The following is a 25,619-nucleotide window of genomic DNA, read 5'->3' on the forward strand; positions in this document are numbered from 1 at the left end:
TCCCACACACAAAGCAGGTGACAGGGAAAGAAAGGTGACTGGATGTTTCAGATGGAGGTAAAGGAAACAAACAATCCTGTTTGGTTCAAGGATTGAACCAAGTTTGAAAGAAAAAAACTGGGGGAATACCTGAATAGTAAATACTTGAAGAGTAAACCGTGAAATTAATTTGATTAGTGAACTACTGCTTGGCACCTCTATCTCTCCTCCTGAAACATTCCAACCTCTTCCTGTAGAGTGAAAATAGACCTTAAAGTTGTATCTAAATGTGTCCATTTCCAATCAAGATATAGCACTGACCTAGAAAAGTAAGCGATTAGTAATAATCTTCTGAAATGTTAACAGGAGTTGCATTTTTATTATTATTTAAATGTGAAGCTAACTTCACATTTGGCAAAGCTAACTTCCTACCTGTTATACTTATGAGCCAATTGTTCCCTAAAGGCTCAGTCCATTTCTGAGTCTGATACCCACTGGGATTCTAGTCTTTATGAATCATGCCAAAGCAGGTGTATGTTTCAGAGGAAGGTAAAGGAAATGGAAACAATCCTGTTTGGTTCAAGATTTCCCTAGAGAAAATGTTTGCCTGATCATTTAAGAGTGGAAAAAAAGCATACTATTCTGCTGCTTTTAAACAAAGAATAAGAAAGCATAAAAATACCCTCTTATGTGTTTCATAATTTTTTCCTCTGGTTTTAGGATTGCTTGCAAAATCCTTAGATAAAAAAGGGAATTCTGTTAGAACGCTTATCAAAGATTTAAAATTACACAATTTCAACAATGACAAAAAAAACTCCCTAAATTTAGTACAAGTTCCACAACAGGGAAAAATCCAATTGGTAGCAGAAAGTAAATAGGTTTCTTTTCATTAAACTAGTCTTAATAGTAGTTATGATACACTCTACACTCTCTTTTGGTTATGCAATTTCCATTCTTGCTGAAATTTGGTAAATTTTTCTACATGAAAGTTGTAAATTTTCGTTCATTTAAGAAAACTAAATTCCAGAAACTGCCAAATGCCAGATATTGATCTCTCTACATTTCTCTGCATTCTACACTCTCAGCAAAATGAAGTTCTTTCAGGTTCTCTCTCATAGCCATTTGACAGTCCTATTTCGTCTGCATGGACCTCTCTTCCACCCCTCTTCATCTAGCTAATTCACATTCTTTCAGGATGTCTTCCCCACATACCCTGACCTTCTGCCTGTGTGGGATTGGCCCCTTCCACAGGGTTCTATAGTACCCTGTCTTCCTCCAACCAAGAATGTACCCACCTCTTGTGTTATATTCCCTCCAGAGAGCAAATTCTGTTCATCCTTAACTTCCTGCCACTTGCAAAGACTTTTCAACAGTTAGTACATTAGTTAACGAATGCCTGGCCCATTAACTTAAAATATACTGGTCCTTTTGACAGAACACACCCTGCCACCTCACCTGCGACAGTTTTGCCAACTCCTCCAATCAAGTTGTTTAGTGTCCCCATGCTTCTGGAACTGTTCTCTCCATCACCTTTAGTCCTATTCAATACTAAACCCGTTAACTGGTTTATCTCACAGATGTCCCCAAATTAGAATACTTTCCCTGGTCATGGATTTTTCTGGGGAGGGGTGCCAAAAAATCAAGAGCAGATTTTGTAGCCTGACTCAGAGATTACTTTGCTTGCTTTACTTTGCATTGACTTGCTCCCTGAGTTCCAGTCAACTACTTCATTAACGAGTTCATCCAAATGGCTGATTTATGAAGATGGTAGTATTGGGGAGCTTGGGGGTGGAGAAGAAGAGGTAGCAGCAGAACTCTGAATAGGAAAAAGTCTTCTCTTATTCACCACTCTCTCTTCTAGCCACATACTGGTGGCCCTGCCCCACGGCCTGTACTAAAAGTCTAGGGGTTGAACCATGTTTTTATAACATTAATTCTGTGAGGGAAAAATGATCCAGGGTTTAAATAATTGACTTCTAAATTTACTTCTGGAACACAGTCTGCTTCCTGTATAGAAATGGAATAGAATGGAGTGTATGGAACGGAATGGAGAGGGATGGGCTAGGATTGGTGAGGCTAGGATAGGATAATATAGGATAGGAAATGACTCCAGTACTTGCATCAAAAGTGAACTGTTAGGGTTCCTCAAGGAGCAGCAGTACAAGAAATAGATTTTATAAACCACCACTTTTAGGTAGCACTAATATCTGAAGCATGTTGCTAAGTTCTTAGTGCCTTGAGCACAACAGGCCCTTAATGTAAAGTTGTTGTCATAGACAATCAATAGGCACTATAAAAGGCAGTGCAGAGTCCCCTGAGTACCAGCGTATATCCTATCTACAGTTCCTTTGCCTGGGAACACTAATGGAAGTCAGAGAGTGAAGAAGCAATGTTCAAGCAAATGGAGCAGAGTTTTAAAGAAGGCAGTCCAGAAATGTCTGATCTAGAAGGGTCTCTGCCATTGCCCCTTTCCCTCTCCGCTGGATCGTGTCTGGGTGGTCTTTTCCATTTGCCTCCTCTGTACTAAGAATCTATAGCTTCATCCCAAACTTCCTTCCTGCTCCCACATTTATGGTTATCAGCACCCTCCCTGGGCTCCCTTGTTAGGGCAGCAGCGTAACTGGCATTGCTTTGCCATCCTGATCCCTCCCTCCTCTGTTCATCCCATTTTCAATCTGACACCGTGTTCTGATGACTTCACCTCCTTCGAATCTCTTAAACCCCAAACGATTGCCTCCTGAGGTACTTAGCCATGTAACAGCAGGTCCTGGCTTCTATCCTTCGAAGTCGCTTTCCTTTGGTATATTTAAGGGAAGGTGTTTCTTTTCATATCACTTTGGAGTCAGTCAACCTTGCTGCCTGTTTCTCAGCTATTGCCTGGCTCCTAACTTGCTCCTGCCCCTGCCTGGGGCCTCTGCTCACATTCTGCTGGTCACTCCTGAATTTCCAGAACCTGTGCATTTCCTAAACATGCTGGCCCAGAGGAGGAGTGATGCCTAAAGCCTGAATACCCCCCTCATCTTCTCATCCCAAGCCTACACATTGCCCATAATTTCGTTCCCCAAAGCACCACTCACACCAGCCAATGTATATAACAGATTGTTATATACATTATTCCAAAGTATAATGAAATACTTTGGAATAATGAAAGGATGGATGACACATTCAGCACAGGTCAGCAAACAACTCAAAATTATACAAGTCACCATTTGTCTGGGAGCTTACCCCTGCTCCAGGGAATTTCTGACTCCATCACAGCCAACACACAGCATTCTTAGGGCCCCGTCCCCTTCTTTATACTGACCACAGCCCAGTCTCCCACTGCTCCCCTATGTTTCAGGGTCCTCACAAATGTCATCTTTCAGTGCCAGAAGAAAAGAAATAGTTCTTGTGATTTTATTGTGCGAACAATTTAATTAGACCGTTTCCTGAAGGGGCCTACCCCTTCTAGCTGATGAAGTGCCCCAGAACCCTAGAAAGAGACGCTGCTGCAGTCATTTCTTCTTTAAAGTAATCTCTTTGTTTTCTTTTTCTGCATGTCTTTCTTCTCAATTCTGCCAGACCCTGCGTCAGTCCAGGCTCTCATTACTGTCACCACTTGGCTGGCTTGCCTGTCTCCCATTTCATTTCACTGAGCCCCCCTCGCAGTCCCATCTCCCACTCTGACACAAGATTCGTCTTTCAAAGTCCAACATGTCATTTCCTTGTTCTAAATCTTCAACAGTTCCAGCTCCATTGCAGAAACATCTTAGCCTGCATGGCTCCTGAGGCTGTGACTTGGTTCTGGAAGCCCTTGACTCCACTCTTATTAAGGTCCTGATCATTTCCCTAACAGGTCACAGGCACACCTTCTTGAATTTGCACGTACCCTCAAGAGCGCCATCTCCTCCTTCAAAATTCAGCTCAACCCTCACTTTCTTTGTCAAATGCTCCCAGGGCCTCATCAGGATTAGCAGCTCTGCTTTGCTGCAGGACCATTGCTTACCTCTATTAGTTTCTAGTAAATGGCTTAGACCGATTTGTTTATGTTCCTGCCTTATTTACAACACACTTTACTCACAAAAGGAAGACTGCCTTTTTCCCCTTGGATACCCTGTGTCCTGCACTGCACTTACCATAAAATTAACAAATGTTTGCTGGGTTAAATAATTGATTTATTTATGAATAAATAATATGGAAGAGTCTGGAAACATGAAGGAGAGTTATAATTGACCAATTTTATTCCCTTTGTCAAACTCCACACAGCTAGAGGATGGGAATAAGAAGGACCTGTCATTTGGTCCTACTAGAGAAGCTGGAAGAAAGAAAAAAAGTAGAAAAGAAGGGCTTGTCCTGATATATCTCTATACTCATTCCCCAGTAGAAGGAATCTGAGACGAGCTGGACTCAATTCTTTGTCTAAAGAAGAGGTCTGCTTGGAATACTTTGAACAGGCTAAATAAAATTTGCAGAATATGGGTGAGTAGTTCCTTACAGCCCGTGTGTGAAGCAGCTTCGTGATTCTTAAAACCAGTCAGTGAACATGTTTGATTAGCATAAAAAAAGAGCAGGAACTGCAGTATCTTTTTTTTTTTTTTCTTTAAGACATTCACAGAGAGTAGCTGTAGATGCTACCAAGCCCCTCATGCTGCCATCATGAAGAGCAGCCTTGGTGCTTTCAGGTGTGCGGCATCAACACACACACACAGGCACACAGAGGGGTGGGAGGAAAGAGAAAGAGAGATTAAAAACAAGTAAATGGAAACAGGGAATTTAAAAAAACAAAAACAAAAACAAAAACAAACTCTGATTCAAAAAGCACATTCTGGACATTTTACTTCATCTGCCACACAAGGTGACTGATAGAGGGATGGGTGGTGTGGACACTGGGGCGTCAGTTCCTAGGGGCTATTTGGAAGCTAGTCCCAGGGAAGAAGAAAGAAAGTCAGAGTCGGGGGACAGGAAGGGGGTGACGACGGCAAAGGGTGATGAGCACTACCTGAATGGCTTGAAGCTTTCCTGAATCACCAAATTTTCCTTTTTCTAGCATGTTCTGGCTTTGTAAAATCCCCAACGGTGAGAATACCATATTGCAAAGCGTAACAGATCGATCAAGCACCCAGCACGAGGACCGCTCCATGAGTTTACGGCCCTAATGGCTGCCTCACAACAAAATACACATTTAAACAGAGCACATGAGTCATAGCCGACTAACAAAAGAACCACCCATCTGTGCACATTCAGGAGAAAGAAGCTCGCTGGAGAGCGCTGATGTGGACTGAAGCCTTGTCATGGGGCTTTCACTGCAAGTGGAGCTGAAGCCCAGTGTCATCAACTCTAACTCAAATTTCCAGAGCTGAGATTATTCCACAATGTTCTAAAGCCAGGCAGAGGAAGTGGTGGTGCCAAGCTTTAAATTCAGTCTAAAGGCCGTCCAGCCAGGGCTTGCGTGCCAATGGCACCACACTGAATGATAATCCTGTTGGCCAGGACTCTCAACCTACTTCCAAATCATGTATTAAAACATTCTGATGACTACCACATAATTCATCTAGATTCATTACAAGAATTATAACAATGTCTGTTACTCATGTATAAAATGTTGTGATGCTAACTCAGCAATAATAATATCCAACATTTATTAAACACTTGCTTTAGACCAGAAGTTGAGCTAAGTGCTTTTACATGTTTGACCTCTATTAATTCTCAGAACAACACTAGGAAGTGGTTTCTATTTTATTATTATCCCCACTTTACAGAATGAAAAACTAAGGGTTGAGAGGCCCACTCATCATCTCTTATTCAAGTTCATCACTCTTACCCAAGGTCACATAGTCAGTGAAGAAGAAGGGATTTGAACTTCAGAGATCACACACACATAACCTCCATAGCATTGGTTAAAGGAGATGGAACCTGGGCTTTGAGTATCCTAGAATTTTATTCCCCAACCAATGTGGTGAGTTCTTATATACACAGGGTAAGGTCAACAGTACACAGCTCCTGCCTACAGGAATCTTGCATTCTGGGTTCACTCTGGTACTCCATTCTAGAAAGCAAAGGGGCAGTAAGAAGTTGAGCCTGAAGTTCAGCAATGGAGCCATGTGAGCTTAAACAAAATGAAATGGTCTCTGGCTTACTACATTCTGGTCCCACATTAAAAGCACTGTTGCTCACTGAAGGAAACATTATCCACGTGTTTCTGATTCATTTACACTTAAGTCATCCCAGTCTCGGTCTGAATGCATATGGCTTCTAAAAGGCTTTTTAACTTTCCAAGAGCCTTTTAACTTGTCTTTCTTCAAGTTATGCCAAGAGTAAATGGGACTAGATTGTCTTAAAATTTTTAACTTAGAAATCAAAATGTCTGAAGAGGCCAAAAAGGGCATTCTCAGCTCTAGAAGGGACACTTCCCAGGCTGTAAGTGTAAGAGCTTGAAGAATTTAAGTAATGAATCAGCCCTTATTAGAGTTCAAACTCAGAGAGGACTTGTCTGAAAACCTTCATGTATAGATTATGTTTGATCTCTTTTTCCCCTCTAAGTAGCTGTCACAAATTCTTCACAGCATATAGGAGTAATGATCAACTGAGGTTTCGGTCAGGCTTTTCATCATCCAACCTGAAGTATATTGAATGCATGCCTCACGTATTGAGAGAGACAAAGGAGGCGGGTGTGACTATTGTAGGAGCACAGAACTAGAAGATAAAGAGCATGTGAAGAAAAATCCACCAAACTCTGTTGTGACAGTCGGCCTCCAACACCCCATTCACCTCAGGAACACAGCACAGCACTAGTTGCTTTATGTGTCATATTCGTGGGCATCCGGGTGGCCTGAGGCTTTCCACTCAGGACATCAGTCACTTTCAGTCTAACATAAGCAACTGAGTAGCCCGAAAAAGCCATTGTAATCCCAGAAGTCTAAAGCAATGTAAAATCTGTGGGCTTCGTGGTTGCAGAAGTTCTGGTGAGGTGCTCTCTGTGGATGGCCGAAGTTAAAACATCTTTGGCCAGGTGTGGTGGCTCATGCCTGTAATCCCAGCACTTTGGGAGACTGCGGTAGGTGGATGGCTTGAGCCCAGGGGTTGGAGACCAGCCTGGGCAACATGGCAAAACCCCATCTCTACAAAAAAATAATTACAAAAATTAGCCAGTCATAGTGGTGTGCACCTGTAGTCTGGGAGGTCGAGGCAGCAGTGAGCTGAGATTGCGCCACTGCACTCCAGCCTGGGAGACAGAGTGAGATCCCATCTCAAAACAAACAAACAAACAAACAAACAAACAAACAAAACAATGTATTTAACATGTCCTTTGTGTGGAAGAATAACTCTAAATGTTTTTATTACTATAACAAGGGGGTCTCCATAGACGAAGGCCTCCTGAGCGGGTTGGATTTGGGTTAGACCTTTTTAATGAGAAGGCATATGGTTGGACGTACGTTTTGTAAACAATTAACAACTTGGGTGGTGATTACAGCAGGGAGCGAGCAGCTCTCAAGGGTCCTGACAGTCTTCTAAGCACATAAGGCACCATTACAATACTAGCTCTGGAGAGGGAAAGAGCATAGGTGTCACCTGGGATGCTAAGGCATTGCTGCTTTTCATGTTAATTTGATTTTTTTCTGGAAATATAAAAATACATGAAATCTTAAAATTCTTTTCCAAAGTAAATTCTTTTAAAAAAACATATTTTTCTACTAGAATGAAATTCAAACCACTTTTTATTACAGGCACCTCTGGAAAAAAAAAAATTCATTCACCACATTCATCCTTCTTTTAAACTGGCAGGTATTTGAATGGTAAAAATGGTCCCCAGCTGGAGCTTCTAGAATTAACTCCTTTTTGTCCAGCCTTACTTCCCTTTAGAATCAATATGAAGTGAAAACAGACTGATGCTAAACCCAAAGAACCATTGGCCCCTGAACAATAAAATAAAAACAGTAGGGAAAAGTGAAGATTGATAGCTTACTGCGTACTCCAAACAAGATTTCCTAGGTTCTTTTCCCTTCAGATTCCTGAGGCTTAAAAAATACCATATCTCTTTCAAAGAACTGTTTAAGAAATGTTAACCAACCCTTCTAGTGTTCTAAATGGGAAATCCAATACCATGTGGCAAACTTTTTGGAGATATTTCTACATGAGATGATCGCTAGAAGGGAATCCATAGCTTATAGCCAGACTAACATGTGACTGGGCAAATTACTTTATGTCTCTTGTATTAGTTATCTATTGTTGTGAAACAAATTATCACAAACTTGGAAGCTTAAAATTATTATTCTAATAATAATAATAGCACTTATTTATTCACTTTCTGTGGGTGAGGAATCCAGTCCAGCTTAGCTGGGTCTTCTATTTCAGGGTGTCTCTCAAGGCTGCAATCAAAGCATCAGCCAGAGCTAGGGTCTCATCTGAAGGCTCAACTGGGGAAGCATCCACTTCCAAGCTCACTTTTGTAGTTGTTGGCAGAATTTCACTTCTTTAAGGGCTGCTGGATTGAACGTCTCAGTTTCTAACTACATGTTCACAGCTTAAAACCTATAGGCTTGTTGTTGCAGGAATCCTGTTGAGACTCTCTTTGTGAATGGCAGTGGTTAGAAAGTCTCTAAAATGTTCTTCTGCATGAAAAAAAATAATTGTATTCCTTGACACATGAACATCCCCAACATGGCAATTTGCTTCATCAATGCTGGCAAGGGGAGAGAATCAGCTAGCAAGGTAGAAGTCACAATCCTTTGTTGCCTAACCACAGAAGTTATATTCTATCACCTTTGCCATATTCTGTTGATTTTGAGCATGTCACTAGGCCAGCCCACATTCTAGGGGAGGGATTACACAGGACATAAATACCAGGAGATGGGGATAACTGGGGGTTATCTTAGAATCTGTCTACCACATCTCTGTAATCTAATTAATCTCATCTGTAAAATGGGAATAATGATCCCTACTTTATCAAATTATTGATAAAATGTGTAAAGTTATGTGTTTATTCATATAAAGAGATTAGAAGAGTGCCTGACACATAGCAAATGCTCAGTAAATGTAAGCCCCTGCTATTATTTGTTTGATATTTATTTTTCCTACTATTTGATTGTTACGTGTGAGAAGCCATGCTCTTCTAGCTTCCTACTGGCTTTCTCCATACACTAAAATAAACAGTGTGTGGAAGGCACCAAGGCATGGCAGCCCAAGCTCACTGGCATAAATACCACCCAAACTGGAATCCAGCTTCCTCCACGTTATCCCATTACCAATCTAACCACTCTGGAGTGTCAGGTAAAATGAAAGGAGATAGGGAAGAGGAAAGAGGCTTTCTGGTTCAGACAGAAGAGATAATTAATGCCTCATGACCTGAATCTAGATCTCCTACAGCTACTCCCTCAAAAGCCAACTTTATTTATTGACTCTAACCTTCAAAGAACATCATCAACTTTCTAGTTCTCAATATTATTCTGATCATAAGTTTATCAAACATAACCAGAATTACATGACCTATGGGCCCCAGCACTGTCTTTGTCTACAGTGCATTTAGGAGATGTGTCTTGCTGCTTTAGCCTCTGCATGGGAAAAGAGTGGTATATTTGGTGCTGATGTGCCCCTTTTATGAAAATCCACCGCTCAAAAGTCCACACTTTAAATCTGGGAAATGGAGAGTGTTTACACACAAAATGAACACATAGTTATTTCCCTTTGCAGAAGGATTCACCTTCAGCTTCCCTCACAGAGTGTACTCCTTTAAGCATTTATGTGTTTAAAGATTAGTTCAGTGACTTAAGGAAAAGAAGCCAAAAATTAAAGAGTTGGGCACTCATACAAGTGCTGATCAGATATTAAATAATCTCTAGAAGTCATGACATAAAAGGAAATAGTCTTCTTTTGTACACAAATCCATATGGGAAGTTTATCCTACTGTATTTTCCTGCATACGCTGTAAAATCTTAAAGGAAAACAAACCATGTTCCAGGCACTTTTGAAACCCTGGCACCTTGCAAAATGCCAGACACAAGGCAGGCCCTCCAGATCTGCTTGTTGAGTAACTAAATGATGGAGTGCCTAACTGATTGGTTGTCAAACTGATTATTGACTAACTGATGTTGTCAGAAAGGTCAAAACTGCTGCTTTTAAATAATATCACTTTAAAAAATGTAAACGTATTTATTAGCTGATCAATAAAGACACGTTTCAACAAGTGGTGTTGGAACAATTGGCCATCCATCCATATGCAAACAAACAAACCTGAAGCTCAGCCTCACACCTTATACAAACAGTAACTCAAAATGTACCATAGATCTGAAGGTGAAATATAAAACTATTAGGAGAAAATGAAGAAAATCTTTGTGGGTTGGGGTTAGTTGAAGAATTCTCAGAAATGTTAAGAAAAACATGAGTTATAAAGTAGATAAATTAGACTTCATTATGATTTAAAACTCTTGCTCACTGCAAGTCATTGTTAAAATGAAAAGACAAGTGATTAACTGGTAGAAAATATTTGCAAATCACATATCTGACAAATAACTTGTATTCAGAATATGCAAAGGATTAAAAAATTCAACAATATGAAAACAAACCAATTAAAAATTGGGCAAAGGATTTGAGAATAGATTTCACCAAACAAGATATAAGTACATGAAACAATGTTTCAACATCATCAGCCATTAGGAAATGCAAATTAAAGTCATGGCTAAAATAAAAAATGCTGACAATACCACCATCTATTAGAATGGTTAAAATTTAAAACACTGACAATACCAAGTGCTAGTGAGGATAGAGAATAACTGGAACACTCATACATTGCTGGTGGGAATCCAAAATGATAGTGCCAGTGTGGAAAACAGTTAGGTAGCTTCTCACAAAGTTAAATATATGCCCACCATAAAACCTAGCAGTACTACTCCTATTTACCTTAGAGAAATTAAAACTTATGTTGACACGAAAACCTATAAACAAATGTTTCTGGCAGCTGTATTTATAATTGCCAAAAATCAGAAACAACCCAAATGTCCCTTAACAGAGGAATGACTAAACAAACTGCAGTACATCCCAATGATAAATTACTCCTCAGAAATAAAATAAAATAAAACTATGGATACATGCAACAACTTGAATGAATCACAAAGGCATTATGCTGTATGAAAAAGTACAGTTTCAAAAGGTTACTTACTGTACAGGTTTATTTACATGACATTCATTAAAGGACAATAGTGATTCTATAGTCTATAGAGTAGACTACAGTAATGGAGAAAAACTCAATGATTGCCAAGTGATGGGGTGAGGTGAGGGTGTGACCAGAGCCTGAGGAGAGATTTTGGTATGATGAACTGTTGTGTAATTCTGGGTAGTGGTAACACAAATCTATTTATGTGTTTAATTCATAGAACTCTACACCAAAAAAAAGTCAATTTTACTGTATGATAATTTTAAAATTAAAAACTTAATAATAAAGATGGGTATATCTGGCTTTACATAGACAAACTTCACAGCCTGATCTACCTCCTGACAACTTCTTGTATGAAATTAAAGAGTTCCAGTTTTAAAAAGCATGTGGCTAGCAGCCCCTGAAATAATCTGTCCCAGACCCGCTTTAAAATACATGAGAAAACAGAGAAAAATGGTAAAACTCACCACAACACTGAGAACAAGGACTACCAGCATCAGTGGCAGAATCTGAAAATACTTTCCCTATGACCAAGGGAAACGGGTTGAGCAATGAAATTTGGGGCCTTCTGTGTAAGCACATCTCAAAATAGGTGGGGAGATCTTTCATCCAGTTCTACTATCTCCTGGTCATGTCTACGCAAACAAGAAAACTGAGAAGCTATTTATTTGCTGCATTAGTGAACTACTTGACAGCCAGAGTGCTGTTCCAATCTCATCGTTGCCAGTCAGATACCACAACCTTCAAAAATTAACTACTTGGCAATGGGGTAGCCAGTAGGACTGGTATATGTCATTAGGACAGAGGCAGGTGTAGGAAGGACCTAGTAGACGTTCAACCTGGGGATTTTGATGTTCCTTGACACTGTTCACAGTGCCAGAGAATCAGACAAAGAGATGAGGAGAGAAGCCCATCTTATTTTAGGAGAACTGTACTAGAGTAGCAGGTTGGTCTCTGGAAACTGTGCATGTCTTGGAGGTCAGATCCATGATAGGAGATGTGAGAGGTGGACATGACCAATACTCTCCAGATGCAATAGTGAGGCAATGGCTGAGGCTGCCTTACTTGTATCTTTGGCTCCATCATTTACTAGCTGTGTGACCTGGGAAAAAGTTATCTACCCTTTCTGTGCCTTCGATTTGTCATACATACAGGTTGGTGCAAACGTAATTACTTTTGCACCAACCTAATACAAAGTGATAAATAGTGTCTATCTCATGATAAGGAGTCAATATACTAAAGTTCGTGGTCATGAATATTCCTCCACTTTGTACTATTTTCTCCCACAGTATCAATTTTTTCCTCTTGCTCTTCTTTAAATGAGAGGAGATTGATTTAGGGAAGGTATATAAAAACAATTCCAAACATCTATTTGATACAGTGCTACACCAACCATCTCATAATCAAATTACTGAAAAAGAGTGATAAAAAGAAAATTTTAAAAGCAGCCCAAAAGACCAAAAAAAGGACACAGTTCATACAAAGGAACAAACATAAGAATTATAGCATACTTCTTGTCAGAAACTATGTAGGCCAGAAGAGAATAAAACAATATTTTTTAAGGGATAGGGGAAAAGTATCAACTTTGAATTCTGTAACCAGCAAAGATATCTTTCAAAAATTAAGGTGAAATATAGACTTTTTCAGACAAACAAATCTGGGAGAATTTATTGACATCAGGTTTCTAAGGTCCAAAGAGCTTCTTTAACAAGAAATGTTCATCAAGCAAAACAATAAAAAATAAATTTAAAAAAGGCAACAAATGGAAATTTGAATCTACAAAGTGTTGAAGAATGTTTGAGTAGGAAATATGTGGATAAATATAAGAGACTTTTTTTCTAATTTTTGATCTCTTCAACATGTAATTGACTTTCAAAACAAAAATAACAATGTATTGTGTGTTTTAAAATGTATATAGAATTAAAGTGGATGACAATAGAGCCAAAGGCAGGAAAAGAGAAATGGAAGTACATTGTTGTAGGAACCCTATACTACATGTGATGTGGTATTATTTGAAGATAGATTGTGATAAGTTAAAGATGTATAATGTAACCCTTAGAAAACCAATACAAAAATAAAATAAAAGCATATAGCTGATAAGACCATCATGAAGATAAAATGAATATAATAAAAGTAATCCAAAAGAAGGCAGGAAAAGGAAAAAAAAAAGAAAAAAACAAATAGCAAGGCAGTAGCTTTGAATCCAACATTTCAATAACTACATTAAATGTAAATGATATGTAAACACTCCAATTAAAAACTAGAAATTGGATAAAAAGCAAGACCCAACTCTATGCTATCTAAAGAAAGCAATTTTAAATATAAATACAGATTAAACATATAAGAATGGAAAAGACATACCAAGCAAATACTAACCAAAGAGAGAAGTGGCCACATTAATATCAGACAAAGTAGACTTCAGAACAAGGAATACTCATAGAGATAAAGAGGGGCATTTTATAATGATGAGAGGGTTAATACACCAAGTTCACATAACAAACCTAAATGTATATTCATCTAATAACAGGGCTTCAAAATGCATGAAACAAAATGATTGAAATGGAAGAAGAAATAGACAAGTCTACAATTATAGCATACAGTCAGTATTCAGTACATGGTAGCTATTATAATTATTATTAACATTATCATCCATCTCTGACATTTCCAAAACAAGATTCAAGGCAGGAATGCCCCACAATTATTTAACAGTTTCCTGAAAAGTCTATCCAAAATATCATGAGAAAAACAAAAATAAGAGGCCTAAGCTATTGGAATAGAGGAGATAAAATTACCATTATTTCTAGTTGATGTGATTTTATGTTTAGTAACTAACAACAAAACAAAACCAAGAAAAGCAAAATAACTAAGAGGTATTAGAATAATAGGGCTCAGTGAGGGAAACTATTTGAAACTAATTACATTTCAACAACTTCATGTATGCTATCAGCAACTAATTGTAAATTACAAATAAAAAGAAGATTCTATTCATAAAAACAATGAAAAATTTTAAATTCCCAGAAAAAAATCATAAGCCCTCTATGAAAAAAATTAAAATCTTTCTTGGGAACTTTTTTTAAGAGTAAACATTGATGGTGACTAGAGTGATGAATCTTCATGTCTTCCTACAAACCTAGTCTGAGTCTGGACCTTGAATTCTTATAAAACCATATGGAGGCTCATAACTCCCTCATTACCTTGCAGGAAGTTTCTAGCATTTGAAGAGAGATGCAGAAGAACCCATTCATTATTGCATCCAGCACCCAGAAAAGTTCCTAACACATAGTAAGTATTCAAATAATATTGGATGGATGGGTGGGTGGTTGGATAAATGAAACAAATGAATGAATCTCTAAACAAGTTCCCAAACTATGCTCATCTCTCTTATATCTGGCCTGGGTTCAAAGCAAATGTAGAGTTCTGGATCCAGAGAAAGTTCATGATAATTGACTTAATCCATCCTGTACTTGATTCAAGAGCAATTCTAGGATCACTGAGTTCCCTCCAGACAAGAATAAATTGAAATAGATACAGATTTTTTTCCCTTATGATTGAAGGAGGGAGTTGCAACAACTTTCCACAGTTATTCAACACAGTATTTACTGAGAATTTATTTTGTTATTAGATACTGGAAACACAGCAGGAAATGCTTCTCCTCTCTTGGGGCTTCAAATATGTGGAAATAGACATTCAACTAGCAAATAAATAAATGAACCAAATACTTACAGATAGTAAAACATACTGTGTAGACACTAATAAGGTAATGAAATCTAACTAGAGATTTAATTTAGCAACATGTTTTCTTCCCTGACTCATCCTCAAGCTCATGCCTGTAACCAGTGCTTTTTTTTTCTTCTTATTGCCTTTTTCTAATTGCTGGGCAAGTTACTAATTTTTTTTGTGAAGGGACCCTGTATCCGGAGCCATCTCAGACTATCATTTTTTCTTCTTTATGGGTATCATTCAATGACTCCCAAAAATTCTGAAAGCATCCTAGAACAGCCTGACATTTCTATTTCAACAAGAATATATAGGCAGTTTCTTCATATACAGGGGTGTGTAGGTTTTATAATTAGGAAACCAAGGAAGAATGCCATCAGCTCACTTGGTGTGTTGCTGTCCATTTACTCACAGCACCGAGAGTGGTCAGCCAGATGGGCGGGAACCAGTATGCTGTTTCTGCTATCCAGTACACCTTACCAAGATTTCACAGAACCTCTGACTAATACAGCAATATTGATTTTATCTAAAGGGAATTACTTTTAAGAAAATTTTCTCCTAAATCGCCCTGGAAGATGCTCTCTTGTTTAACCAAATAGTGTTGATTAAAAGGTTGAAATGAATGCTAAGTGAGCTGTTTTGTTTACTAGTGGAAACAATTATTTCTTCAGCCCTCGCCTTTCATCTCCATAAATTAATGCTCTTTTCTCTGTGCTTCATTGACGGCTGGTGAATTATGCAAATATTTTTTCTGTAAGAAATTAGATAAAGTAGTCTCGAGACTTCTTATAACAAGTCATTATAAAGAATGGCAAGTTAACAATTTGATTTAAAATACTGTTCTCAATCTAGGTTGCCTAAGTTCAAATGTTTTAACCTTTAAATCAATTATCTGAAACCAAATTATATTTGTAAGTACATGGTTATTCTAAAGAAATTAAGTCATTTTAGCATTTCCTTTAATAAGAAAGTGATTTTAGGACATTATAGAAATACATCATTTCAATAGTTACCTTTCTACTACCAGTACTACTGCCTCCAAGATAGTGCCATTTCACCCTGACATCACAAATGAAAATAAACAAATATTTGATTAATTCACATAGTGTGCCTTTTTCACAGTAGGGGTGTATGTATATTAAGACGGTTTAAAAGTCAAACCTCAGCACTGCACAGTTATTTCAAAAAAAATCAATGAAAACCAAATGACTCACAGTAGCTCACAATTAAACCAAAAACTCACTTGTGCCCTTTTTCCCACAAAAGCAGCATTTTTAAATGCAAATTGTTCAATACTCTAATTGCTCCAAGAGCACTTCTGATTAGCAATCTTAATCATGTTCTAGCGCCTTTTCATCCCAATTTCCAGGATTTTGTTATTATGTGTCAGCATGACTCAAGGGAAAGCCCAAACCCTGGTCCCACCAGACTGATACAACCTAGATTGTAAACCGAGTGGTTCTCAGCTCCAGGCCATCCCGTCTCACTTGACCCCTCTCTACTCAGAGCAGGAAACCAGCTCGGCTTCCCTTGGCAGTAAGGGAATGAAGTGCATTGATTGCTCGTGATTATTAGCTGGAGTGGGATGAGCCTCCTCCTTATTATGCAGATTAGCGGAGCTCTCAGTCCCAGCATATTGTGCAGATGTGGGCTAGCAGCTGCTCCTACAGATGGCAAGTATACAACTCCATTAGGATGGATCTATTGTCTGCTCCTGGCTTGCATAGAAGCTGGGGCAGACTGGGCAAAGAGAAATTGTTAAACGGCGAAATGTAAAGGCGCACACACTTTTAAAAATCTGCACCCAGGAGACTCTTTACACAGCAGGGCCAACAGCACTCAAATTAGAAATCTACCCTAAATAAGGACTTTTATATGTCACAATTAAGCTTGTGTATTTTTTAAAGCAGATTAACCATTAAAATTGAGTAGCATAATTCAAATTTTGCAATGCCATGCTATTAAATATTCAGAGTATAAACAAATCCTAAGAGATTCATTCAGAAATTTGCTCTACATTCAGTTCTTCGGGAACCTTGTGTTTAGTTAGTTCCCTTTAAAGAGGCAAGTTTATTTTCCATAGCATCAAAATATGATAAGACACTGAGCTTCCCTTGTTAAAGTGTTTGCTTTGGGATAGTTTGTCCTTTTAGAGTTATTGTTTATTCTGAAGAGCATCAAAGTAGTTAATTCAAGTTTGTCTGCAGCAAAAGTTTGCATATAAGGATCCTTTCTGAATAAATATCATTTAAATCATTGGCAACTAAATTACATTGTCTGCTGCATAATTTTGGATGTGGTATAAAATAATTTGATTGCCAACTAATTGAAGAGATTAAGTTGGGTAAAGGATAAGTTTTTGTTTTGTTTTATTTTATTATAGCTAATGTTTGTTTAGATCTTCCCCTAAAATTTAACAATGAAAAAGACCCCTGGCTAAGAGAGAGTCTAAAGGAACAGAAACTTCTAGAAAAATGGGAGGGGACTGCCAGAATGTTACAAGGAGTATAACTCAAACTTGTTACCAAAATAAACATAACTCTATTAAGTACGGTCTTTAAAAGTTCAAAAGAGTCAAGTTTAGAGGTGAACGCACAATAGAAAAAAAAGTGATGACCTACTCAGTTACTCAGACTAACTAACGTAGACAGGCAAATAAAATAACTTAAAAGCACATCAAGGCCTGGTGTGTTGGCTCACGCCTGTAATCCCAATACATTGTGAGGCCGAGGTGGTCAGATCACCTGAGGTCAGAAGTTCGAGACCAGCCTGTCCAACATGGCGAAACGCCATCTCTACTAAAAATACAAAAACTAGCCAGGCGTGGTGATGTGCACCTGTAATCCCAGTTACTCGGGAGGCTGAAGCAGGAGAATCGCTTGAACCCAGGAGGCACAGGTTGCAGTGAGCCGAGATTGTGCCACTGCACTCCAGCCTGGACGACAGAGCAAGACTCCATCTCAAAAAAAAAAGAAAGAAAAGAAGTACGTTGTGTAAATGTCAGCATCAGTGTTACATGAGAAAAGATTCTACTCCAAATTGCCAGATTCCGACAGAACAAGCACTGTTCAGGGCTTTGCAGGGAAACAGAATCAAAGCAAAAAAACTTGTCTCCATTCTCCTGATTGAACCATAGAGTAAGTGGCCAGTGGCTGAAAGAAGAACCAGGATTGGATCAAACAGGTTACAGATGATCTGGTGGGGAGGATATGGCCCTGGAACTTATGCTGGATGTCTGAAAGATCAAAAATAACCGAAAGCAGATGCACTTCAGGAGATAAAGTGTTAAATGGCACATCCTCAAAAGGCAACTAAGAGTTAGGAAAGTGGAATCCCTGCAACCAAGGCTGAAAATAGATTCCTCTTCCAAAGAGGATTCAAGCCTTTGTGGACAGATTGCCTAAATATAGCCAAGATCAACAAAATCACAAAACTTCAAGAAGTCCAACCACCACTATAGAGAGAACACAGCAGAAATAAGCTCCGTGACTACATTAATCAGGAATTCAACAACACATTGAGAACACACAATTACAAAATAGTAAACTTAAAACAGATTGAAATTATGATTTTGTAAACTGAATGTCTTGTCAATACATAACATTTAAACCTAAAGTTTAAATCATCTTGTGAATCCATTTCAGTTCAACACATCTTTTTTAATAAGGAAGCTCCATGAGTCTAACAACTTGTTATATTCCATGTACTGCTGCATCCACAGCACACTGTAAAATCTCTTACATGGATTAGAATAGGCACTCAATAAAGGGCTGATAAGTGAATATGTCCACACATTAAATAGTGCACATGGAATAACAGACTAAGTAATTACATCACAACATAGTAAGTCAAAAATTCAACTACACACCATACAGAGTTGGCAGAGAAGATTTTACTGGGGAGTTGGGAGCCACCAAACACTTTTGACAGAGTTTTAAAGAGTAATCAAAAGAAGAATGGACATTCTGAGGAAAAGCAATAGAATATGCAAAGGCACAGAGTGTGAAACATCAGCACAACTGCAAGTAGTGCCTCATGGCCAAAAAATTCATTCTCCCATAGCTGAGGAGAATAGGGGATGCAGGCAGAGGATACACACCAGGCCAGGGTGAGTCATAAAAGAAGGAAGCCAAGGTCGGGTCTTAAGCAGCCTTGACTATGTCATGCCAAAGAGGAGCCTGAACTGTAATACAGCATACAGAGTTTTAAGCAGAAGCGAGACACAGTCAGATTTGACTTAAATTTTCTCGGTTACATAAATACAGCCCATTTAATGATCTATTACAAACTCTTTAAATAGATTTGCTGTCTTTTCTGGCAATTGACAGCCCTTGGTTTCAGCCTTCTGCCTGTGGTCTGACCTTTTGTAGGACATCATCAAACCTAAGAGCACTTTTTCCTCCCTCCAGACAAATCTGGCTGTCATTTCTGGATCTTGAATTCCACACTCAATGCAGTGCTCCTTTGCCTAGAAGAGACAGCAGTGTTCCTTGACTTCCTTTCCCCTCAAACTGAGGCTGTTTGAATGCAAGCCATTGACAGATAAACATTTTGACCACATTAAGTGTAGTTGTAGACTCCTTCCAGTTTCAGGAGTTCACAGATGAATTTTAATTGTGTTAGTAAAACATTTGCTACTGATTTGCTCTTTATAGTAGCTTTTGCTGCTGACTTCACATTCTCCTTGGGGCCTCTGCTCAAACTTTTTGTATCACCCAGTACCCTTTCCATTCCCCATTTTTATTTGTCAAACTTCTTCCAGCCCCATGACATTTAATCACATTCATTCTTGTTTTATAGTTGGATTTAAACATATCAATCTCCTCCATGGATTACAACCCTTGAGGGCAGGAACCAGAAATGATTCATCTTTGATCCCACTCACATCCAAAATAGTAGATAAGATAGTAAATGAGAATAAATGAAATAGCATCTATGAAATCCCTGTGTACAATGCAAATTACTGTGAAATTTGTAGTTCTTATTAGTTTCTCTCTCTCTCTCTCTCTCTCACACACACAGCAAAATAATTATTTATTTTTCAATGGAATTTTCTAGCCATCCTTAGTGTCCACCCCACAAGAACACTGGGGGTCCTTCCTATCTCCCTTGGTCATTCTCCTCCCCAGTATTCCTCTTGGTTTTTGTTTTTGTTTTTGTTTTTGTTTTTTACCCATCTGTCCTCATCCAAGGACCTTGGCTAACAGTCTGCCCCAATCAGAGCAGAGGACATGTGTATTTGGCCCATGGATTGCCTTTATGGTTGCATCTGTGTGTGTGTATGTGTGTGTGTGTATGCACACATAAGTACATCAGCACATTAAAATTCAGGAGAAGTCACACAAACACCCCATTTGGGGCTTCTGTTGAAACATGGTAACATAATCTGGAGCTGAGTTGGGGGTGTCCTTCCTGTTGATGTAAGTTCACCTCTCCAGTTTGGCAGTCCCTGTCTCTTCCTATGGTCCCCATGATACCCAGCCAGGAGTCCATTGTCATTTATCAATATGCTCATGCTGTTATTAATTTTTTTTACAATAGAGGTACATTTCTTTGATTCTATATCTCTACCAAAAGTGGGAAAAAGAAAGACTGAGAAAGCTGCATGATTTTTCTTACATTAGACCTGCTGTATTTATTTATGTTACTTTACGTGGCCCCTGGGACATTCCGTTTTTACACCCCTGATACAGAGCATCAGTATCAGTGACCATGTGAGCAAGGAAGCAGGACCACTATAAGTGATCTGGAACCAAGACTTACTATGCAACGGAGGTAGCTGGGGAAGAAGTTTATGGAAATCTAGTGGTGAGCCTGAAACCAACTGCTATAGGTGAGCAGGGCAGCAGTTGGGAAGAAACCTGGACAGAAAGCAACAAAGAAAAAGACAAATTAGAACCTGTGAGGACAAACCAGAGCCTCCATTTGTTTCTCATCATCTCTAACCTGATGCAAGAGACTGGAAAATAAGCTGTTGCCCTTCACCATGATGCTGCACACGTGCCTCATCCAAGACTCATAGAAACTGAAGGAAGAGGTCTAGCAGAAGCTGCAGGAGCTGTGAGCTCAGGCTTTTGCAAGCCAGGTGAGTCAGTATATATAATAGGTCAGCGATATTGCCAGGGAGCCTAGGGCCACAAGGGAGCCTGGAGCCCTATGCAGATTTTCAGAGCTAATGTCTGCTACTTCACTTCTGCCTCCCAGATCTGGAGTAAATTTCTGTTATGGCCAACCTTGACCCAGAACCATATAGAGAAGGGAATTCTGGGAAGTGTAGTTCCACCTTAGCTAAATGACAGTACAAAACCACTACAACATCTATTGATATAGTTTGGGCAGGTCAATTACCACAGCATGCACAATGAATAAGTCTTTGTTGCACTTTATCTAAACAAATCTCAGCTAATAACAGAAGAAAAATCAAAGATAGCTTAGAGAATATAAGGATATCTCTTCTTTTGGTTGAGTTTTTATTGATACGTAATATTTGTACATATTTATGGGGTACATGTGATATTTTGTGACATGCATACAATGTGTAATGATCAAGTCAGGATATTTAAGGTATCCACCACCTACTATTTATCATTCCTATGTGTTGGGAGTGTTTCAATTTCTCTCTTCTAGATATTTTGAAATATACAATACATTGTTCCGAACTATAGTCACACTGCTCTTCCATTGAACATTAGAACTTATTCCTTCTATCTAACTATGTTTGTACACATTAATCAACCTCTCTTCATCGCTGCACATACACCTGCAACAACCACACCCCCTTCCCAGCCTCTGGTATCTATCATTCTACTCTCTTCCTCCATGAGATCAACTTTTATAGTTCCCACACATGAGTGAGAACATGCCTATTTTTCTTTCTGTGCCTGGCTTATTTCACTGAACATATTGACCTCCAGTTCCATCCATGTTGCAACAAAGGACATGATTTTATTCTTTTTTATGGACAAATGGTATTTCATTGTGAATATATGCCACATTTTCTTTACCCATTTGTCTGTTGATGGACACTTAGGTTGATTCCATATCTTTGCTGTTGTGAATACTGCTGCAATAAACATGCAATGCAGGTATCCCTTTGGTGTACTGATTTTTTTTCCTTTGAATAAATACCCAGTAGTGGGATTGCTGGATTGTATCATAGTTCTATATTTAGATTTTTGCAAAATCTTCATGCTGCTTTCCATAGTGGCTGTACTAATTTACATTCACACTGACACTAAATAAGAGTTCCCTTTTCTCCACATCCTCACCAACATCTGTTTTTTTTTATCTTTTTAATAATAGCCAAGAATGTACGGATATATCTCAGCTGTTACATTTCACTACCATGACCAGCTCTCAATGCAGTGCCTTGCACAAAGTAAATGTCTAATATATTTTAGTGAATTACATCAGGCAGTCCTGGTGACCCAGTTTTATAAAAAATAGTAGGGAAAAGAATAGCACTATCAGAACACATCTTTTGGTTCTATTAATATTATTTCATTTTTCAAGAAAAGACTGTGCTTTTGACAGAGTAAATAATGGTTTTTGTGTATAAATATTATGTCTAGATTTCACAGGTTTTTTCATTTTAAACATAAAAATGACCTTTACTTTATATAGCACATCCTGATTAAGAAATAAATTCCCAATTAAGGAAATCATTAACGTTAATAACAGAGATATAAACTGTATTAGTCCATTTTCATGCTGCTGACAAAGACATACCCCAGACTGGGAAGAAAAAGAGGTTTAATGGACTTAACAGTTCCACATGGCTAGGGAGGCCTCACAAACATGGCAGAAGGCAAGGGGGAGCAAATCACGTCTTACATGGATGGCAGCAGTCAAAGAGAGAGCTTGTGCGGAGAAACTCCTTCTTATAAACCCATCAGGTCTTATAAGACTTATTTACTATCATGAGAACAGCACAGGAAAGACCTGCCCCCATGATTCAGTTATCTCCCACTGGGTCCCTCCCACAACACATGGGAATTATGGGAGATATAAGCTAAGATTTGGGTGGGGACACAGAGCCAAACCATATGATAAGCAAAGGGCAATTAATAAATATATTGTGGAGATTACTGTCAGGTATTTAATCTGTAACAGATATATATCAAAATGTTACAAATTTCTTGCAAATGGGTAAAAATAAATAGGAAATAAACAAAAAAAAAGGTTAACAAATTAACAGGAAAACTGAACCTTCATTTCTTCAAATAACCAAAAAGCTTCAGTAAGTCATATATATTTTTCTTAATAAGTAATATTGAAAAAAATGCATAAAAATAAAATGGCCTACATATTGCCACCTAGGAATTTGTCTTCATTGGATAAATTGCTTTTTTCTTCACCAGTTCTTACAGTTTAATCCCTAGAATAAATCCCTTATCCCATGTCAAGAGGGTCCACTTCCCTGATCAAACCCTCACTGATACAGATGCTCAGTAGCAGGGGTCTCAAAATCAGATGCATCCCCCATCTCTACTAAAAACACAAAAATTAGCCAGGCGTGGTGGCGGGCACCTGTAGTCCCAGCTACCCAGGAGGCTGAGGCAGGAGAATGACATGAACCCAGGAGGCGGAGCTTGCAGGGAGCTGAGATGGTGCCACTGCACTCCAGCCTGGGAGACAGAGCAAGACTCTGTCTTAAAAACAACAACAACAACAAAACTCAGATGCATCAGGGGACAAACAGAAAGAATTCTTCCACTTAATGGATTAATATATCTAACGTATTGAGCCATCCCCAAGCTAGCCATTGATGGTTAGAAACTTTCAGGAATAAACTTAATTTTAGTTAGTATTACTGGATGACATATTCCTAATTTAACCTGAGTGTACATTTTCTTTTAACAAAGGTTAATCAGAAATTCTCTGATACATGCCACTGCACTCCATACAGCCTGGGTAACAGAGCCAGACTCCATCTCAAAAAATAAAGGAAAGAATTGAAAGAAGAAAGGGAGGGAGGGAGGAAGGGAGGGAGGGAAGGAGGGAATGAAAGACAGAGAGAGAAAGAAAGAAGAGGAAATTCCCTGATAAACATTATCATAAGCATTAGAAATTAAAATGGCACATCATATTAGTAAGGAATTTAGCTCAGAAATACTCAAGGTTTTTGAAGAATCATACTCCTAATGCATCTTTTCAGGCTAAATATTATGTCTCAGTCCCTGAGTATCATCAGGCCTGGAACAGATCTCAAAATGAAACCCATATTTCTTTCTTTCTTTCTTTCTTTTTTTTTTTTTTTGAGACAGAGTCTCACTCTGTCGCCCAGGCTGGAGTGCAGTGGCACAATCTCAGCTCACTGCAACCTCCACCTCCCAGGGGTTGAAGCAATTCTCGTGCCTCAGCCTCCCACGTATTTGGGATTGCAGGTGTGCACCACCATACCCGGCTAATTTTTGTATTTTTAGTAGAGACGGGTTTTGCCATATTGGCCAGGCTGTTCTCGAACTCCTGACCTCAAGTGATCCACCTGCCTTACCCACCTTGGCCAAAGTGCTGGGATTACAGGCGTGAGCCACTGCGCCTAATCGAAACCCATATTTCTTGAACTCTATTTTCTCAAAGTGTGTAAATCTAAAACTTCCCAGAAAAGATCCTCTCTGTATCCAGGACCCACTAAAAAGAAATCTTATTACTTCCCAGAACCCTGCAGGATCCCATCTCCTCTTTTGACACATTATGTCAGTAAGTTTAATGTGATCCAAATCCACACATCAGTCATGAGGTTTAAAACATCCAACCAGAGGTTTTGAAATGCAAGCACCAGGGTCTGGAAATGGTGACCAGTACTCTATGGTACTGATTAGAGGCTCATTCTTCAATAGCATATATCTCAAACTTTTTCAGAGGCAACCCACAGTTGTCCATGCTTTGATAGAAGATACTCAAAACTATGATGATATTGCCATGAATTGTATCATTGCCAAGCATACGGAGAAGACTTCAGGGATATTTGTGAAGCATGTAAACATGGACGATTTTGAAAAAGAAACCAACAGTGGCTATTCTGGAATGTGACATCGAGCTGAGCATGCTCTGCAGAGGTCTTATTATATAAATAAGCTTGTTAATATATATGATAGCATGCCCTTAAAATAGTCCAACATTATGATTTCCCAGTTTGGTTTTCCATATGCCAACCACAGAAGAAAAATGTAAAAGTAAAACAAACAAACCTGAAAACTGCTTGGTATTTGAGTAGCTTCTCCATGCTATGTATTTTTTTTTAAGCAACATCATGAATTTTATCTACTCTGGAGGTCACTACAGTAGAAAAAAACTGCAGTGCTTCTAGGATATAAAATTCACATTACCTTCAAAAGCCAAGAAGTTGGTCCTATCCAGTTAGGTCTTCTTATGAAGAGTTTTCATCCAGGGATATAACACCTTGGTCAGTGATTTTATTGTTTACATTTTGAGACTGTTCTACAGTTTCTTTGACTCCTGGCATTTGCCTTAAGGACCTATAGCAAGCTGTTTTCAGGATCAGAAACTCAAGAAAGGCATTTATCTGCTTTTTGACGAAAGGTTGATTGTTTTCATTTGAAGACTGAAATGCCTCTTTAGCAAAAGCCTGTGGTATGGGGTAATGCCATTTGAGAAGAGAATAGTCTCAGTGGCATATGAAGAGGAAAATTTGCAGCTGCCAATGCTTTCCTTATGGCCCTGACAACTAGCTCTTCCAGGACTAACTCAGTCCAGCATGGTTTTGATGTAACCATCAGTGCTTTTATTTTTGTTAAGTCTTTATTGACTGGGACGGTTAATTTTAGTAGCTGAA

At 38.7% G+C, this 25,619-nt stretch overlaps 2 long non-coding RNA genes and 1 pseudogene across 2 annotated transcripts in view, besides 2 other annotated features; 2 read left to right on the plus strand and 1 right to left on the minus strand.

Moving 5' to 3' along the window:
• LOC107985962 (uncharacterized) overlaps positions 1 to 20,733 on the minus strand; it is a 243,604-nt gene extending 222,871 nt beyond the window's left edge. Inside the window, exon 1 of the long non-coding RNA XR_007087312.1 lies at positions 20,585 to 20,733. This is a non-coding gene — a long non-coding RNA (uncharacterized LOC107985962). The remainder of the gene's footprint in view (positions 1 to 20,584) is intronic.
• Positions 4,942 to 5,142: a silencer, noted in NCBI's record as "peak3945 fragment used in MPRA reporter construct". NCBI's record gives its function as "represses an SCP1 promoter by STARR-seq MPRAs in K562 erythroleukemia cells {active_cell/tissue: K562}" and the evidence as "EXISTENCE:reporter gene assay evidence [ECO:0000049][PMID:32103011]".
• Positions 14,142 to 15,444, plus strand: LOC124907909 (uncharacterized). Its single transcript, XR_007087313.1, has 2 exons — positions 14,142 to 14,386; positions 15,236 to 15,444. It is a non-coding gene; the product is annotated as an uncharacterized LOC124907909 (long non-coding RNA).
• Positions 16,136 to 16,637: an enhancer, noted in NCBI's record as "OCT4-NANOG hESC enhancer chr2:176699169-176699670 (GRCh37/hg19 assembly coordinates)". NCBI's record gives its function as "activates a minimal SCP1, AML or CMV promoter by ChIP-STARR-seq in naive H9 embryonic stem cells {active_cell/tissue: H9 hESC(naive)}" and the evidence as "EXISTENCE:reporter gene assay evidence [ECO:0000049][PMID:30033119]".
• EXTL2P1 (exostosin like glycosyltransferase 2 pseudogene 1) lies at positions 24,582 to 25,193 on the plus strand (annotated as a pseudogene).
• The last annotated feature ends 426 nt before the right edge of the window (positions 25,194 to 25,619 follow it).

Source organism: Homo sapiens, chromosome 2 (genome assembly GCF_000001405.40).
Source record: "Homo sapiens chromosome 2, GRCh38.p14 Primary Assembly".
Classification (NCBI taxonomy): domain Eukaryota; kingdom Metazoa; phylum Chordata; class Mammalia; order Primates; family Hominidae; genus Homo; species Homo sapiens.